Below are 18,854 nucleotides of genomic sequence, written 5' to 3' on the forward strand. Positions count from 1 at the left end.
CCAGGCTGGTCTCAAACTCCCGACCTCAGGTGATCCACTCGCCTCAGCCTCCCAAAGTGCTGGGATTACAGACGTGAGCCACAGCGCCGGGCCCCTCCATTGTCTTTTATGACCTAGGTCTGTTGGTCCTATCCAGTGAGGAAGGAGATGACACACAGGAACGAGCACCAGGGGACGAGAATCATCAGGCTGCCTTGGTGGCTGGCTCCACAGGCCACCGCTGGCTCTCAGTGATTTCCCCCCTCCCACATGCCAAATATACTCACCACCTTCCAGGATCCCCCATCATCCCATTACAGCATCAGCTCAAAGTACAGAATCTCATCATCTCAGTCAGGTCCAGGTGGGGATGTGGCTCTAGCATGCAGTTCCGTAACTATGGCTCCTTAAGTGCATTTCTTTTTTTTTTTTTTTTTTGAAATGGAGTCTTGCTCTGTCTCCCAAGCTGAAGTGCAGAGCCACCACCATCTCACCTCACTGAAAACTCTGCTTCCCAGGTTCAAGTGATTCTCTTGCCTCAGCATCCCAAGTAGCTGGGACTACAGGCATGCACCACCATCCCAGCTAATTTTCTTTAGTAGAGACGGGATTTCACCATGTTGGCCAGGCTCGTCTTTAACTCCTGACCTCAGGTGATCCACTTGCCTTGGCCTCCCAAAGTGTTGGGATTACAGGCGTGAGCCACCGCATCCAGCCCTTAAGTGCATTTCCTATCTGCAGACCTGTGAGCTAAAGAGACAGGTCATCTCCACACTCCCAGTGTGCAGTGGTAGAGGCAGGCACAGGATAACCAGTAAGGACATTCTTGCTCAAAAGCAGGGGAAGCCGGGCGTGGTAGCGTGTGCCTGTCATCCCAGCTACTCAGGAGGCCAAGGTGGGAGGATTACTTGAGCCCAGGAGTTCGAGACCAGCCTGGGCAACATAGCAAGACTCTGTCTCAAAAAAAAAAAAAAGTGGGGCAGGGGACAGGAGGCACATATAAGTCATACATATAAGTCACTGGTGTGTGGAAATTCTGTAATCCAGTTGGAGAAATGCTAGGAACTCTTTGATGCCTACTCCTGTTCATGAATGATTCTCCATGGCTCTCCCTGAGTCGTCCCACCTCTTCCATGAAAGATGTTTGCAGCTCCACAGTTTCATCTGCCTGCTTCCTGCCTGTAAAAGTTTGGGTGTGCAAAGCCGTCTTGTCCTTTTGCACTGGCTCTGTCCCTTTCAGTCCAAGCTGGCAGTGTCTCTGCCAATATAATTCTCTTCATAACTTATTGGGTATCTTGCATGTCTTAGGGTTCACTACATTAGAAAAAAGCCACACCTAGAAATCTCTGCAAGTGGCCAGGCACAGTGGCTCACGCCTGTAATCCCAGCACTTTGGGAGGCCGAGGTGGGTGGATCACCTGAGGTCAGGAGTTTGAGACTAGCCTGACCAACATGGTGAAACCCCATCTCTACTAAAAATACAAAAATTAGCTGGGCGTGGTGGTGGGCACCTGTAATCGCAGCTACTCAGGAGGCTGAGACAGGAGAATCACTTGAACCCAGGAGGAGGAGGTTGCAGTGAGCTATCTCAAAAAAAAAAAAAAGAAAAGAAAAAGAAAAAAGAAAATCTCTGCAAGGTAAGCCCTTCTCTACTTTGGGCTTGTGCTGAGACGCTGAAAGACAACACCTTTAACCTTCTCAGAAGCGTGATTATTATTTCATTCGACTGGAAGTCCCCTCTGAGGCATCTTGTTGGTATTTCTGAGGTCTTAACAAAGGACTTTTTCATCACATCCTCAGCTTGACCTTTAGACCACATTTCCCTGTATTTAATGCCTTGTATTTAATCTTTGCACGGAAGCCATTTGTTAATTTTAACATCACTTGTTATCTGGAAAGGCTGGGAATTTTCAAACCCAACAATTTCAGGCTCTTTTTCATTTAAGTGTTTTTTTTCTTTAACTTACTCTCTCCTCTTCAGTTTTACTATAAGCAGCAAGAAGCCAGGTGGCACCTTCAACATTCTGTCTGGAAAGCTCCTTAGCTAGACCATCCGTTCCTTAGGTATATTTCCTACCCTCCACACTAATGCAGGAGACAGTGTTGCTAAACTTTCTGCCGCTACACAAGGATCTCCTTTCCATCAGTTTCCAATAGCATTTTCCTAACTGTTCTTCAAGCCCTTATTGCAGCTGTCTTAAAGGTCACTGGACTCTTATTAACAGACTTTCTCACCTTTTTTCTTTTAATTTTTTTAGAGACAAGGTCTCACTATATTGCTCAGGCTGGTCTCGAACTCCTGAACTCAAGTGATCCTCCCACCTTGGCCTCCAAAAGTTATGGTATTACAAGTGTGAACCACTGTGCCCAGCCAATACTTTTTAACACTCCTTAAGCTTTTACTAACAATCTCCTCAAAGTCCTTCCAGCTTCTTCCCACTTCTCAGTTGTAAAGTTACTTCTACATTTGAGGTTTCTGTTATGGCAGACCCCCATTCCAGAAACCAAAGTCTGTTCTCTGTTACTGGGTAACAAATTACTACAAACTCAGCAGCTTAAAACAACAGTCCAGGTGTGGAGGCTCATGCCTGTAATCTCAGCATTTTGGGAGGCCAAGGCTGGAGGACTGCTTGAGGTCAGGAGTTCGAGACCAGCCTGGCCGACAGAGCAAGACTCTGTCTCTATTTAAAAATAAATAAATAAAAATAAACATTATCTCACATAGTTTCTGTGGGTCAGGAATTTGGGATGGGCTTAGCTGGGTGGCCCTGGCCCAGAATCTGTCATGAAGCTGCAGTCTGGATTTTGGCTAGGGCTGCAGTCATCAGAAGGTTTGCCTGGGCCTAGAAGCTCTGGTTCTGAGACAGGTCACCACTATGGCGGGGAGTCTGTGCTTGCTGTCGGCAGGGGCTTCAGTTCCTCACCAAGTGGACCTCTGCTTAGGGATGCCTGAGTGTCCTCACATAGCATTCACATAGAGTGAGTGATCTCAAAGAGAGGCAGAAGCTGTAATGTCTTTTATGACCTAGCTTCAAAGTCACATGCTGTCATTTCTGCAATGTCCTATTGGTCATACACAAGGGTCTCCTTGGTGAGGATCTGAAAAGGTCTGCCCTATTTGGTGTGGGAGGGGACTGAACAAGAGCCTGGAAACCAGGAGGCAAGAACCCCTGGTGGCTGTCTTGGGTGCTGGCTACCTCTGGACTGTTTAATACCTGGCACTGGGAAAACTACCTCACCCTATGGAAGACAAAAATGAGCTAAATCCCTTCACAATCATATTTACAAAAGTGAGTTCCATTTAGATTAAAATACCCATATATGAAAAAAATCCATATTTAAAACTATAGGTCAGGTATAGCGGATCACACCTGTAATCCCAGCACTTTGGGAGGCCGAAGTGGGCAGATCGCTTGAGCTCAGGAGTTTGAGACCAGCTTGACCAACATGGCAAAACCCCCTTTCTACAAAAAATACAAAAATTAGACGGGTGTGGTGGCTCATGCTTGTAATCCCAGCACTTTGGGAGACCAAGGCGGGCGGATCACGAGGTCAGGAGTTCGAGACCAGTCTGGCCAACGTCGTGAAACCCCATCTCTGCTAAAATACAAAAATTAGCCAGGCATGGTGGTGCACGCCTGTAATCCCAGCTACTCAGGAGGTTAGGGCAGGAGAATCGCTTGAACCCGGGAGGCAGAGGTTGCAGTGAGCCGAGATCATGCCACTGCACTCCAGTCTGGGCAATAGAGTGAGACTCCATTTAGAAAAATAAAAAATAAAAAATCAGCCAGGTGTCATGGTGCACGCCTGTAATCGCAGCTACTCGGGAGGCTGAGACATGAAAATTGTTTGAACCTGGGAGGTGGAGGTTGCAGTGAGCCGAGATGACACCATTGAACTCTAACCTGGGTGACAGATCAAGACTCTGCCTCAAAAAATAAAAATAAAACTACAAAGCTCACAGGTAACAGAAAATCAGAAAAACATTTTTAAACAAGACCATAAGGATACAGCATTAGGCAAAAAATGGTGAGGAATTGGACTACATCCAAATCAAGAATTTTTCAAGTTGACAATGGAAAGCATGACTTTACAAATAATCTCATGTAATAATGTTGAAGAGAAAAGACTTATAGGTATTCTGTGGCACAAATGTAATTACTGGTTCAGGTAAGGATTATCAATTTGTGTGTCATTGATAGGTAACTGCCTTAATACAGTGGCCAAATACCATATGCATTATTTTATAGTTAGCAACAAGGAAATGTAACAATGATAGAGAAATCAAACCACCATCCCCTAGATCCAGGGGCCAATTATGAACGTCATTAATGACGAGTCATATTAACAATATTATGGGTTGCTTGATGTGGCCCAACGTGAAATACATACATAATATTACCTAAAATGTATTCTAAACAAAATGTTTAATATCAGTCATTTTATTTATTTTATTATTTATTCATTTATTTTGAGACAGAGTCTTGCTCTGTTGACCAGGCTGGAGTGCAGTGGTGCAACCTTGACTCACTGCAACCTCTGCCTCCCAGGTTCATATAATTCTTCTGCCTCAGCCTCCTGAGTAACTGGGACTACAGGCACCCACCACCACTCCCAGCTAATTTTTGTAATTTTTTATTTATTTATTTATTTATTTTTGAGATGGAGTCTCGCACTGTTGCCCAGGCTGGAGTGCAGTGGCACGATCTCGGCTCACTGCAACCTCTGCCTCCCCAGGTTCAAGCGATTCTCCTGCCTCAGCCTCCTGAGTAGCTGGGATTACAGATGCCCACCACCAGGCCTGGCTAATTTTTTTGTATTTTTAGTAGATACAGGGTTTCACCATGTTGGCCAGGCTGGTCTTGAACTCCTGACCTTGTGATCCACCTGCCTCAGCCTCCCAAAGTGCTGGGATTACAGGCATGAGCCACCGCACCTGGCATAATTTTTGTATTTTTAATAGAGATGGGGTTTCACCATGCTGACCAGGCTGGTCTCAAACTCCTGACCTCAAGTGATCCACCTGCCTTGGCCTCCCAAAGTGCTGGGATTATAGGCGTGAGCCACCGTGCCCACCCAATATCAGTCATTTAAAATCTACAGTCTGGTTTACAGGAAATTAAGGATAAGGCTGGGTAATAAACCAAACGATACCGGGAGTAAACAACCAGGCAAAGTTGGAAAGCGGGTCATTGTGCAGGACAACTGGCAGTCTCTTTAACAAGCCAGCATCGTGAGGAAAAAGGGACCCCTTGGATTGTAATAAAGTAATGCTTATGGTATTATTTGGCTTATGTAATAAAGTAATGCTTATGGTATTATTTGGCTTATGTAATAAAGTAATGCTTATGGTATTATTATGGTAACTGTATTAAGGCAGTTACCTATCAATGATAATCCTTACCTGAACCAGTAATTACATTCGTGCCATAGAATACCTATAACTCTTATCATCTCTTCAACATTATTACATGAAACTATTTGTAAAGTCATGCTTTCCATTGTTAACTTGCAGATAACCAGATGCAACGTGAAGATCTAGACTGGACCCTGGTTTGATGAACCAGCTGTAAAAACACATTTCTGGAACAACTGGAGAAACCGGAGTATGCCCTGGACTGGATATTAAATAAAAATTTATTGACATGTAAAGATGGCAATTATTAACAACAACAAAAAACAGATTATAAAACATTTCATACAACACGATTGTATTTTGGCAAGCAAACACACACACACACACATACTCTCACACAGGAAACGACCTGGAAGAATATTTGGTGCTTTTATTTTTTAGATTATTTGTGTTTCTGAAATTTCTACAATTAATAAATACTGCTTTAAAATAATCAATGGTTATTTGTAATTTTAAAAAATCAAGGATTTCCATTCAATGCTAGATGCCACAAGTGGGTGACATTCTAAGAAAAAATATTGGCGATATCTACATTGACTAGAAATTTTTATCTAGAACAGACTTTTTCAACTGAAGTTCCTCATCTGAATCTCAAAAACCAGCAAATATGGCCAGGCACGGTGGCTCACGCCTGAATCCCAGCACTTTGGGAGGCCAAGGCAGGTGGATCACTTGAGGTCAGGAGTTCGAGACCAGCCTGGCCAACATGGCGAAACTCCATCTCTACCAAAAATATGATAAAATTAGCCAGGCATTGTAGTGCACACATGTAGTCCCAGCTACCCGGAAAGCTGAGGCAGGAGAATCACTTGAACCCCAGAGAGGGAGGTTGCAGTGAGGTAAGATCGCGCCACTGCACTCCACCCTGGGCGACAGAGCAAGACTCCACCTCAAAAAAAGAAAAACAAAAACAAAAACAAAAAAACAGCAAATAATTTGAGTGTTTTCTGAACTTTGCTGAGAACAGTAGGTAAATAGTCCCATGCTACAGGCTTAGAGGTTAATTTGTTATGTATATAATCCATGCCCTAGGGAATGTATAAGACATACCCATATGCAGTAGGGCTTAATTATCCCTAGGAACTAAACTAAAATATGCAAGGATCTCCTGCTAAGCAACATGAAAAAGAAAAAAGCAGAAAATCTGGTAAAGAACATGAATAAGCAATTCACAGGAAGGGAAACAAAAAAACACTAGTGAGTATATGAAAAGATGCTGAACCTCATTAGTAATCAGAGGCATGCAAATGAAAATGAGATCACGCTACACTCATTGGATTGGCAAAATTAGAAAGCTGGATGATGCCATGTCTTGATGAGGACATGCAGAAATGTAATCTCTTATGCACTGCTCATTATGAGGATAAAGTATTATAACCATTCGGGAGAGCAATTAGATGATATTTACTAAAACGCCGTTTGCAGGTGTCCTGTTATCCAGCAATTCTACTCCCAGCTACAATGACAGGAGACTGGCACAGAATCAGAAGGGAGCATGTACCAGGATGCTCATGGTGACACGGTTTGTAGGGGCAGGAACTGGAAGGCAATCTAGGTCTCCAACCTCAGGGGAATGTATGAACAAAATATGGTGAATGAACACCGCAGATTTCTCTGCAGCTGTTAGAAGCAAAGAACTAGATGTACTTGGAGCAGCATGAATAGATCTTGAAAAAAAGTGCTGAATTAAAAAAACACAATGCAACAGAAACTGATTCACAGCTTCAATGCCATTTATGGACATTTAAAATGCACACATATGCAGAACAATGCTTTAGCTTTTCGAGCATATGTATCAAAACATTAAAATTGGATGGGTGCCCCTGGGAAAAAGGAAAGTAGGCAGGGGACTGGGAATGAAGGGAAAGAAATAAAACTAAAAGACAAAAGGTTTGCATAGACCAATATTGATGAAGTGCCACACACTGAGGAGTGTGCTGAGCTGCGTGAGGTGCAGAGGGAACCTGGAAAGGAGAGAGCAGGAGTATAGAAAAGTACAGCTCTTGGGAGGCTGAAGGTCAGATAGTCAGGTAGCCTGGGGTCAAATCTGAGCTCTGCTGCTTCCCAGCTCTTTCACCTTGGACACGTCTTCCAAGCTCCCTCGCGTTTCTTTTTACGTCAAACAAGGATACAAGATGTATACACAAGCAGATAGCAGAATTGCTCCTGACACACAGTGGGTACATGATGACATTAGTAAATTTAAAACTACAGGCCGGGTTTTAAAACTTTAGTTTTAACATTAGTAAATTTAAAACTACAGGCCGGTGGCTCACGCCTGTAATCCCAGCACTTTGGGGGGCCAAGGCGGATGGATCACGTGAGGTCAGGAGTTCGACACCAGCCTAACAAACATGGTGAAACCCCGTCTCTACTAAAAATACAAAAAAGTAGCAAAGCGTGGTAGCAGGCGCCTGTAATTCTAGCTACTTGGGAGGCTGAGGCAGGAGAATTGCTTGAACCTGGGAGGCAGAGGTTGCGGTGAGCCAAGATCACGCCATTGCACTCCAGCCTGGGCGACAGAGAGACTCTGTCTCAAAACAAAACAAAAATGCTACAGAGCAGGAATGCACTTCCAAGATCTAGTACAATGAATGTTTCTCAAATGCAAGTGGTAATTTATTAATGGGTCATGAAATAAGTAATGGGTCCCAAACAGCATTAAAAAGAAAGATTATCAGAGTACATTTCACTAAAAGTATCTTTTTATAGAACTGTTATTTCAGTTATATATAATGAGTACTAAAATGCATTTTTTCCCTATGGCAGGCAATCAAAAAGTTTGAAAAACATGGATATTGTCCAAAGGAGTTCTACACCTTTGGGCTTCAAGAACCAGTAAGTATTCCCTGAGACAAAAGTTGTTCAGGGAGGCAACCTTTTAATCTATAAAGGGCATTCAAAAAGAAACTTTTATAATCTTCTCTTACTATTGTAACATAAAAGAAAGGACATTTTTAACATTGTAAAAATAGAACAGAATAACAGGCTTTATGTAAAACTCACTACTTTGTACTTATTTTTCTCCCTTCCCTGTCTTTCGGAACCCGAGGACAGAATCCCAGAGGTAGGAATGGACTCACTGAAGGTCACTGAGTCAGCTGTGACAGAGGTGACACAGAACCCTTATGTCCTGGCTTCACTTTCCAAGCTCTGCTCCTCAGAACCCTAAGGGGTCCACAAAAGTGGAGCCTAGCAGGTGGGGTCTCTAGAATCCCCAACCCTGTTTTACTGGGAGTGGCCCTGCTTCTGTGAGATTTCATTTGAATAAAGAATTTCACTGTTTAAAAAAAAAAAAGAATTAGAAAGCTCCTGGGGGGCGGAAGCCATGGGAGAATGCTGCCTCCCAGGATAGGGCCAGATCGCAGAGGTTATTATATTTCAATTTAAATTTAGATGTTTTTCCCTAGTGACATGAGGGAGCTATTTAGGATTTCTAAGCAAGAGAGAGAATAGATCGGGGTTGTGCTGAAAGATAATTACTCAGGTGCGAGTGTAACAGCTGGACTGGCTGCATAGGAACAGTGGGAAGTAGAGAGCAGCTATTTAACCATTGCAAAGGTCCTGGCATGAGGCTGGGGTGGGGGTGCTGCCTGAGGCGGCAGGGATGCAGAAGATGGCACCTCAAATTCTCTGGGGTTATGGCCAGCCAAAGCCAGGCTCTCCAAGCCATACCCCATATCTCCTTTTTTCTGCTCTAATACCTGCTTGGGCAGCTCTCCCAGGAACATAGGCATGGGGACTCCGAAGGCCCTCACCTGCAGCGCCAGCTGGCAGTCCTCAATCAGGCCCTGCACCAGGTAGTAGCGTGCTTCGCCCAGCAGCTCCCCCAGTTCTCTCGTACTCTCCGGCAGTGGCACAGACCCATCCCGCAGGTAATTGAGGATTGTACCAAAGTGACGGCCGCTCCGGTCAATCAGCACCCAACCTAGTGGGGTGGGGAGAGGCAGGGGGAAAGATGGCTTTGCTGCGGGACCTGGAGCTACTAAATTAAAAAAAAATTTTTGTAGAGATGGAGTCTCACTATGTTGCCCAGGCTGGTCTTGAACTCCTGGGCTCAAGTGATCCTCCCATCTCGGCCTCCCAAGTACTTGGATTATAGGTGTGAGCCACCAAACCTGGCCTAAATTATAAGAAAAAAGGATTCCAGCCAGGCGCGGTGGCTCATGCCTATAATCCCAGCACCTTAGGAGGCTGAGGCAGGCAGATCACCTGAGGTCAGGAGTTTGAGACTAGCAGGACCAACACGGAGAAACCCCATCTCTACTAAAAATACAAAATTAGCTGGGCTTGGTGGCTGGTGCCAGCTACTCGGGGGGGGGCGAGGCAGGAGAATCGCTTGAAGCCGGGAGGTGGAGTTTGCAGTGAGCCGAGATCGCGCCATTGCACTCCAGCCTGGGTAATAAGAGGGAAACTCCGTCTCAAAACAAAAAAATAAAAAAAGAAAAGTAAAGAAAAGAAGGCCGGGCACGGTGACTGACGCCTGTAATCCCAGCACTTTGGGAGGCCGAGGTGGGCGGATCACCTGAGGTCAAGAGTTCGAGACCAGCCTGACCAACATGGAGAAATCCCGTCTTTACTAAAAACACAAAATTAGCCGGGCATGGTGGCGCATGCCTGTAATCCCAGCTACTCAGGAGGCTGAGGCAGGAGAATTGCTTGAATCCGGGAGGTGGGGGTTGCGGTGAGCCGAGATCGTGCCATTGCACTCCAGCCTGGGCAACAAGAGTGAAACTCCATCTCAAAAAAAAAGAAAAGAAAAGAAAAGAAAAGAAAAAGGATTCCAAAGCCACAAAAAAGTCTGAATACTGATCTGTCTCAAACCTGTGCCACAGCCAAGAAATCTCTTTAAAACATCTCCAGCGAGTTCTCCCTTAAGTTTTTATACATATTCAACCAGATAATTAACTCATCCATATCTGGTCTACAGTCAGAAGGCTCTCACCATGAGAAAGTTCTTGCAGAATTACCTTATCAATAAACTGTTAACCCCCGAAGTTAATTCTCACCATCCTATTTAATTAAAATGTCTACCTCCCCCCGTCCAGTTCACTGCCATTTTAACTTTTATATTCTTCATAGAGCTTACTATCAAAAAAAGAAAAAAGAAAGAACTTACTACTATCTGCAATTGCATATGCATATACATTTTGTTTACTTGCTTATTGGTCTTCTGATCTCCCACTTCCCTAAAAAAAGGGAATTTCCATAATTTTGTCAGGTTCATTTACCTATCTCCAGCACTAACTGATATTTTACAAATACTTATTGGACAAATGAATTCTTCCCTTTTTTTTTTTTTTTTTTGAGACAGTCTCTCTCTGTCGCCCAGGCTGGAGTGCAGTGGCGCTGTCTCGGCTCACTGCAACCTCCGCCTCCCAGGTTCAAGCGATTCTCCTGTCTCAGCCTCCCGAGTAGCTGGGCTACAGGCGCACACCACCACGCCCGGCTAATTTTTGTATTTTTAGTAGAGACGGGGTTTCGCCATATTGGTCAGGCTGGTCTCGAACTCCTGACCTCAGGTGATCCACCGCCTCGGCCTCCCAAAGTGCTGGGATTAAAGGCGTGAGCCACCGCACCTGGCCGAATTCTTCACCTTTGATACTTGAAGGCAGATCTCCGCCTCTCAAATTTTTATTCTCCTGCTCTCACAGTCCTCGTTAACCCCTCCCTTAAGACTCTCCCACTCCCAAACTCCAAAACTTCAAAGTCTCACTTGGGCACGAAGGGTCCATACTTGAATGCAACACTCCAAGAAGGTAAGGTTCACCTGCCAAGGAGACCTGTCCACCCTCCACTCTGGTGTCCCTGGCAAACCCAAAGCAGCCTCCTTCTGCAATGTGTGTATACAGGTGGATTCCTAGAGTGTACAGGGACCTGTGTCAGGGGAACACAGAGGCAAACAAGATCTCCCAGCTCTCCTGGCTGGCTGTGAGCAGTTCTGAAGCAGAGAGGGAAACAAAAGGCTGGGCAGTCGGAAGAAACTGAGGAAGGCTGCCAGGAGTAGTACTGCAGGCAGCAGGGCTAGTTCCCAAGTCTTGAGCTGAGGGGTGAAGGGTGGGAGAGGTGGTCATGAGGATTATGAACTGACACGTTCAATCACTTACCACAGCGCCTGGCAGTTAGGGGTTCCGTAAGTGTTGGTTATTGCTGGGGGTAAAGGATTGGGGGAGGAGAAGAGAAATTATGAATGAGAAAGGGGAGGAGATGGGATGTGGGGGCTGGAGGGAGCTGAGAATGAGTTGACTGGACAGTAGCGGGCAGAGAGAAGGGGCATGAGGAGCCCCGGTGGTGAGAGACTGCGGGGAACGGGAGTTGGGGGTCTGGGGTGGGGGCACGGTAGGGGCGCCGCTCGTACCTCCGGCATCGGTCAGCACCTCCACGCGGCCGCTGAACATGGCTTTGAGCATGGTGTCCTGTCCCGTGAGGGTGCGCAGCGTGGTGTAGTGCAACGAGCCGCCCACGTTCAGCTTCACGTATTTGCTGTTCGGGGTCAGCGGCTTGAGACCGTAGGCGGCGGGGCCAGGCTCGAGACCCGAGGGCTTGGGGGCTTCCAGGGACGGGGCCGCGGCGGCAGCCGGGCCCGAGGCCTCCGCCGACATGCCGGGTAGCAGCGGCGGACGGCGATCCCAGGATCTCTCCGCGCCCTGCGGCCTGCTCCCGAAGACCCTCGGCCGGCCCCCAGCCCTTGGGCCAGACCGCTCGGCGCACACGCCCACTCACCGCAGCTACTCTGCAAGACCGGCCCTCCGCCCCATCTCGCTCGCACCACCCGGAAGCCGGCGCCGGGCAGCTGCGCAGGCGCGGCCCCGCCCCTGAATGGGGGCGGGGCTGCGAGTATGGAGCATGCGCAGTGGCCTCGCTGGGGGATCCCGTAGAGGTTTGGCGTGTGGCCTGCGGGTTCCCCGGGCGGGTCGACGTGCGCTCCTCTCTGGTCTCGAGTCACCAGGACCAGATCGAGGATGCGGCCGACCCCCTGCCCGATGTGGAAAGCGAAGTCTCCACCTCGTGATTGGGTCTCTGCTGTCAGAGAGCTTCACGAGCTTGAGGGGAAACAGACAGAGAGGTCTGGGCATTGGGCAGTTTCCCGCCTCCCAGCCCCGCGCACTGAACAGACTGTGACCAGAACTGCGAACAAAGCGCGGAGGGAAGCTCTTAAAGGAGGCCAAAGCGGCCGGGCGCTGTGGCTCACACCTGTAACCCCAGCCTGTAAGCCTAGCTACTCGGGAGGCCGAGGCAGAAGGAGCGCTTGAAGCCAGGAGTTGGAAGCTGCAGTAATCCGTGATCGGACCGTTGCACTCTAGCCTGGGCAACATAACGTCCTTTGAAAAAAAAAAAAAAAACAGAGGCCAAAACGGGTAGCAGTGGTGCCCGGGCACCAAGGATGGAAGGCCTCTCTGAGGAGGTGATGCCGAGCTGAAGCTGGGAAGCGGATGTGAGGGAAGAGTTCCAGGCAGAGGGAAGGCAAATGCAGAGATCCTCAGGCAGGAACACTGAACTGTTCTCCGTATTTGAGGAGCAGAGGGCGTGTCAGTGGTGGCCGCAGCAGCTGAGCAAAGGTCTTAGAATCCCAGCTAATGTCGTGGGACCTAGCACCCAATCCCAAAAGAAAGAAGAATAGATAGGAACCCACTGTTGACAAGAAGGTGCACTGAGAAGTGTTTTTATCTGACCCGATCTGCATCCAGTTTAGAAGCCGATACATCAGGGATTTAACAATCTGTCTTAATGTCTAGCAAGGGGGGTTGCTGGAGGGAAAACACAGAGTCAGAGTTCTATCTTCAGCCCTGCCAGCAGGTCCCTGGGAGATGCTAGACGAGTGACTTTTCTCTGGGCGTGGTTGGTGTAAGGGATGCACACGCAGGAGGAAGGTCGGAGTGTAAATGTGTGACCTGGGCCTGTTACTGGGTATAAATGGGCCTGTAGTGACCGGGAGCTCATGTTCTACCAAAGGGGTTGCCAATTTTCTGATTTCGAGTGTGGCGGTGTAAAAGAGAAAAGCAACTGCTGCCAGCTGGGAGCTGGTTTGCACCCTCACTCCAGAAGCCTTGATGTTGCTAGGAGCTGACCTGGCACCAACAGCACGGCCATGGTGGTGTCCTGTTGAGCAAAATAATTTCACAAAAAACATCAGACAAGGTCACTCTCTGACTGATCTAGAAAAAGACCATTCCATAATAAAGCCTCAATACAGAAACAAGAACATTGTCCAAACCACAAAAATTACCAACACAATCCTCTCTCCCACAGCGTAAGTTACTGCTGCTTTTTTTTTGGTTGTTGTTTTTGTTTGTTTTGTTTTGTTTTTGAAATGAAGTCTTGCTCTGTTACCCAGGCTGGAGTGCAGTGATGCAATCTTGGCTTACCACAACCTCCACCTCCAGGTTCAAGCGATTCTCCTGCCTCAGCTTCCAGAGTATCTGGGATTACAGGCACCCACCATCATGCCCAGATCATTTCTGTATTTTTAGTAGAGACGGGGATTCACCAAGTTGCCCAGGTGAGTCTTGAACTCTTGACCTCCGGTGATATGCCCACCTTGGCCTCCCAAAGTGCTGGGACTACAGGTGTGAGCCACTGCACCTGGCCACTGCTGCTTCTTTACCAAGTACAGTTTTAGCTTGATTCATTCCTCCCATCTTCTAGATAAGAATTATTAAGATAACCAAAAAGAATTATCCCTACTTCCTGATAGCATCCAACCCAGAGCAAATGCCCCCCTTTTTGGACCCGCCTAGGAAGTCCCCTAATGAAAGTTCCAATCCTGTAATAAGTCCTTTCACACATGTTCTTGCTGAGATGTCTGTGGTGTTCAGCCTCCCTTGTTCAACTACAGGTGCTTCCTGGTGGTCCTTGGTTGGAGGGTACTATCAGAAATGGAGGAGCAACAAAGATTCAGCTGAAGCCCTCACTGCCTGGGACTGGGACCCTTGACTCGTCATTGTATGCACACCTGAAACTGCTTATGTCGCTGAGGTGCCAACCTGCTGATGGTTGGAAGCTAATTGAGTTCTGATATTGTGTTGATACCCTTAAGCATTGGGTTTACTTTTTATTTTAATTAATTAATTAATTAATTTTTGAGACAGAGTTTCACTCTTGTTGCCCAGGCTGAAGTGCAATGACACGATCTCGGCTCACCGCAACCTCCGCCTCCTGGGTTCAAGCAGTTCTTCTGCCTCAGCCTCTTGAGTAGCTGGGATTACAGGCATGCACCACCACACCTGGCTAATTTTATATTTGTAGTAGAGACAGTTTCTCCATGTTTGTCAGGCTGGTCTCAAACTCCTGACCTCAGGTGATCCACCCGCCTCGGCCTCCCAAAGTGCTAGGATTACAGGCGTGAGCCACCATGCCTGGCCATATTTTTTATTTTTCATTTTTTACTTTTTGAGATAGGGTCTCACTCTGTTGACCAGGCTGGAGTGCAGTGGTACGACTCAGCTCACTGCAACCTCTGCTTCCCAGCTCAAGTGATTCTCCAGTTTCAGCCTCCTGAGTAGCTGGCACTAAAATTAACCAATGCCGGTTAATTTTTTTTTTTTTTTTTGGCGGGGGACAGAGTCTCGCTCTGTCTCCCAGAGTGGAGTGCAGTGGCGCTATCTCTGCTCCCTGCAAGCTCTGCCTCCCGGGTTCAAGCAATTCTCCTGCCTCAGCCTTCTGAGTAGCTAGGGTTACAGGCATGCGCCACCACACCTGGCTAAGTTTTGTATTTTTAGCAAAGATGGGGTTTCTCCATGTTGGTCAGGCTGGTCTCAAACTCCTGACCCCATGATCTGCTCACCTTGGCCTCCCAAAGTTCTGGGATTACAGGCATGAGCCACCACACCCAGGAATGCCGGTTAAGTTTTATATATATATTTTTTTGTAGAGATAGGGTTTCACTCTGTTACCCAGGCTGGTCTCAAACTCCTGAGCTCAAAGCAATCCTCCCACCTTGGCTTCCCAAAGTGCTGGGATTATAGATGTGAGCCACCATGCCCTGCCAAGCATTGGGTTTATTTGGTTTTTCAGTTTTTTTACTCCTGGAATAAGGCCCCCACACTGGATTTTTGGTTATCTGATCAAATATTTATTTTGTCCTTGGTGCAATTGTTTTCTGTCCTTCTACACTCATTCCTATGGTGTTTTCTTGTCTAGTATTTTGAATATTGTTTGTCTATAAGAGGCAAAGTCGATATAAAAAGGATGGATGTAGGCTGGGCGCGGTGGCTCAGGCCTGTAATCCCAGCAACTTTGGGAGGCTGAGGTGGGTGGATCACCTGAGATCAGGAGTTCAAGACCAGCCTGGCCAAAATGGTGAAACCCCGACTACTAAAAATGCAAAAAATTAGCTGGGTGTGGTGGCAGGTGCCTGTAATCCCAGCTACTTGGGAGGCCAAGGCAGGAGAATCGCTTGAACTTGGGAGGCAGAGGTTGCAGTGAGCCGAGTTCGTGCCATGGCACTCCAGCCTGGGCGACAGAGAAAAAAAAAAAAAAGTCTCTGTCTCAAAAAAAAAAAAAAAAGAAAAGAAAAGGATGGATGTGTAGCCTCGGATGTCTAAGGGCATCACAAACCTATTATTGCTGAATCTCTGGTGACCGAACACAACTTATCCCTCTAGGAAGGTAGGGATGCCAACTGTTGAGGGGTTGTGCAACTAGTTAGCATCCGAGAGTCTTATTTGTTATCAGAATTAACCAGAGAAATCACTCCAGCAACCAAGAGCCAGTAAGTGTGTCCTACAACCAGCTCCAGAGACTGTACAATTCGGAAGGTATTCTCAGACTAATGTCCTTTGGGTAAACTTTGCCCAGGTCACCATTTCTTTTTTGTTTTTGTTTTTTGAGACAGAGTTTTACTCTTGTTGCCTGCTGAAGTGCAATAGGACAATCTCAGCTCAGCTGCAACCTCCACTTCCCGGGTTCAAGTGATTCTCATGCCTCAGCCTCCTGAGTAGCTGGGATTACAGGTGCCTGCTACCATGTCCGGCTAATTTTTGTATTTTTGATAGAGACAGGGTTTCACCATGTTGGCCAGGTTAGTCTCGAACTCCTGACCTCAGGTGATCCACCCACCTCTGGCTCCCAAAGTGTTGGGATTACAGGCATGAGCCACCACGCCCAGCCCCAGGTCACCATTTCAAAGCCTTGAAAAGGATTTCTTTGGTTTTGTCTATGTCCTTGCAAACTGCTTTGTTTCATTTCTTCTGCTCAGTATCAGGGGGCTTTCTCTGGCCTCTGATCAGCGATGGTGTTTGGCCACATTCTAGAGATACGAAGTTGTATAAGCACCATTCTTTTAGACCCCAGTCACAACTAAAATTGGGCCAAAGACCTGCTCCCTTCATGTTTTCTCACGATTGCAATAACATGTACCCATATATCTGTAACTGACACAATTTCACCAGGGACAGTTTGTAATTGCCGTAGCCATTTGGTGGAACTTTTGATAATAACAAGATTGTTCATTTGGGAGGTGCCTCAGAACACAAAGGGAAGAAACCTTTGTGAGATTGTTTGCCTTGTTTGTTAAAAACAAAGATTATTTTGTTTAACATAGGCAATATTTCATTTACCTATTTTGCATATTAATAAATGCTGTCGGCCAGGCACAGTGGCTGACACCTGTAATCCCAGCACTTTGGGAGGCTGAGGCGGGCGAATCACTTGAGGTCAGGAGTTTGAGACCAGCCTGGCCAACATGGTGAAACCCCGTCTCTACTAAATATACAAAAATCAGCCAGGCTTGGTGGTGCGCACCTGTAATCCCAGCTACTTTGGAGGCTGAAGCAGGAGAATTGTTTGAGTCCATGAAGTGGAGGCTACAGTGAACTGAGATCATGCCATTGTACTCCAGCCTGGGCAACAAGAGCAAAACTCCATCTAAAAAAAAAAGAAGGCCCTCACCAGATGTGGCTGCTTGACTTTGGAATTCCCACCCTCCAGAACTGTAAGAAATAAATTTTTAAAAATAAAGTACCCAGCCCCTCAGGTATTCTATTGCAACACAGAATGGACTAAGACAGTGTTTATATGTCAAAATCTATTTTCCTGTGTTTAAACTGTCTTCCTTCTCCTTGCAGAGGGAATATAACCTTAGCCTTTTGGAGTGATAATTTCATGTTTGTCTGAAGTAGCTTCTTCTCACATTTTCTTTTTTTTTTTTTTTATGTTCAAAATGCTTTTATTTCTAGGAATTTAGTTTTATTTTTAATTTTTTAATTATTATACTTTAAGTTTTAGGGTACATTTGCACAACGTGCAGGTTTGTTACATATGTATACATGTGCCATGTTGGTGTGCTGCACCCATTAACTCGTCATTTAGCATTAGGTATATCTCCTAATGCTATCCCTCCCCCCTCCCCCCACCCCACAACAGTCCCCGGTGTGTAATGTTCCTCTTTCTGTGTCCATGTGTTCTCATTGTTCAATTCCCACCTATGAGTGAGAACATGTGGTGTTTGGTTTTTTGTCCTTGCCATAGTTTGCTGAGAATGATGGTTTCCAGCTTCATCCATGTCTCTACGAAGGACATGAATTCATCAATTTTTATGGCTGCATAGTATTCCATGGTGTATATGTGCCACATTTTCTTAATCCAGTCTATCATTGTTGGACATTTGGCTTGGTTCCAAGTCTTTGCTATTGTGAATGGTGCCACAATAAACATATGTGTGCATGTGTCTTTATAGCAGCATGATTTATAATCCTTTGGGTATATACCCAGTAATGGAATGGCCGGGTCAAATGGTATTTCTAATTCTAGATCACTGAGGAATCGCCACACCAGCTTCCACAATGGTTGAAGTAGTTTACAGTCCCACCAACAGTGTAAAAGTGTTCCTATTTCTCCACATCCTCTCCAGCACCTGTTGTTTCCTGACTTTTTAATGATCGCCATTCTAACTGGTGTGAGATGGTATCTCATTGTCTTCTCACACTTTCCTGCTGTCCATTTCATTCTCTTTTTCCTCACCTCTCTTGGAAAGCTTTAAAGATTAACTAATCAAAAAATTTTTCAGTTGTATGTGCACAGTCTAGGTAAATCCAGTCCTAAAAGAAATAGAAATGCCTAAAATGCTAAAAGAAACAGAAAATCATATATATATACGTATATACATGTATATCAAGATCAGCTTGGGTAACATGTGAGACCCTGTCTATACAAAAAAAAATACATGTATATACGTATATATATATAGTGTCTGTACATATAGGCACTAAAAAGTATATTTATGTAATAGCCTTTGCTCTTCCAGTTAGAAGAAAAGATCTATCACGCCTGTAGTCCCAGCACTTTGGGAGGCCGAGGAGGGCGGATCACGAGGTCAGGAGATCGAGACCATCCTGGCTAACACGGGGAAACCCCGTCTCTACTAAAAAAAATACAAAAAAATTAGCCAGGCATGGTGGCGGGTGCCTGTAATCCCGGCTACTCAGGAGGCTGAGGCAGGAGAATCGCTTGAACCCAGGAG

At 46.2% G+C, this 18,854-nt stretch overlaps 2 protein-coding genes and 1 long non-coding RNA gene across 10 annotated transcripts in view, besides 1 other annotated feature; 2 read left to right on the plus strand and 1 right to left on the minus strand.

Annotated features, from left to right (window-relative positions):
* The window catches only part of ASPHD1 (aspartate beta-hydroxylase domain containing 1), a 19,502-nt gene extending 13,674 nt beyond the window's left edge, over positions 1–5,828 (plus strand). For both annotated transcript variants that reach the window (XR_007064865.1, XR_007064864.1), the window contains one exon: positions 5,495–5,828. The gene's annotated coding sequence lies outside the window, so the exon portion shown is untranslated. The remainder of the gene's footprint in view (positions 1–5,494) is intronic.
* Positions 1–12,190, minus strand: part of KCTD13 (potassium channel tetramerization domain containing 13) — a 19,888-nt gene extending 7,698 nt beyond the window's left edge. For 3 of the 6 annotated variants that reach the window (NR_110933.2, XR_007064863.1, NM_178863.5), the window contains exons 1-2: positions 11,754–12,190; positions 9,154–9,323 (exon numbers count right to left, since the gene is read on the minus strand). Coding sequence is in view for 3 of the 6 variants with exons in the window: in NM_178863.5 (NP_849194.1) it covers positions 9,154–9,323; positions 11,754–11,997 (414 nt within the window). In the remaining 3 variants the exon portion in view is untranslated. Of the gene's footprint in view, positions 1–5,598; positions 7,926–9,099; positions 9,324–11,753 lie in introns of those variants that run through there. The other 3 variants (XR_950767.3, XM_011545783.4, NM_001410898.1) reach the window with 2 other exon arrangements.
* Positions 11,856–12,095: a silencer, noted in NCBI's record as "silent region_7344". NCBI's record gives its function as "represses an Ori minimal core promoter by ATAC-STARR-seq in GM12878 lymphoblastoid cells {active_cell/tissue: GM12878}" and the evidence as "EXISTENCE:reporter gene assay evidence [ECO:0000049][PMID:35858748]".
* On the plus strand, positions 12,187–17,044 carry KCTD13-DT (KCTD13 divergent transcript). 2 transcript variants are annotated; one of them, XR_001752362.2, is made up of 3 exons: positions 12,187–13,646; positions 13,731–13,895; positions 14,232–17,044. It is a non-coding gene; the product is annotated as a KCTD13 divergent transcript (long non-coding RNA). The 2 variants fall into 2 exon arrangements; XR_007065037.1 differs by having other exon boundaries at positions 12,239–13,646; positions 13,780–13,895; positions 14,232–15,027.
* The last annotated feature ends 1,810 nt before the right edge of the window (positions 17,045–18,854 follow it).

This window comes from Homo sapiens, chromosome 16, assembly GCF_000001405.40.
Source record: "Homo sapiens chromosome 16, GRCh38.p14 Primary Assembly".
Lineage (NCBI taxonomy): Eukaryota > Metazoa > Chordata > Mammalia > Primates > Hominidae > Homo > Homo sapiens.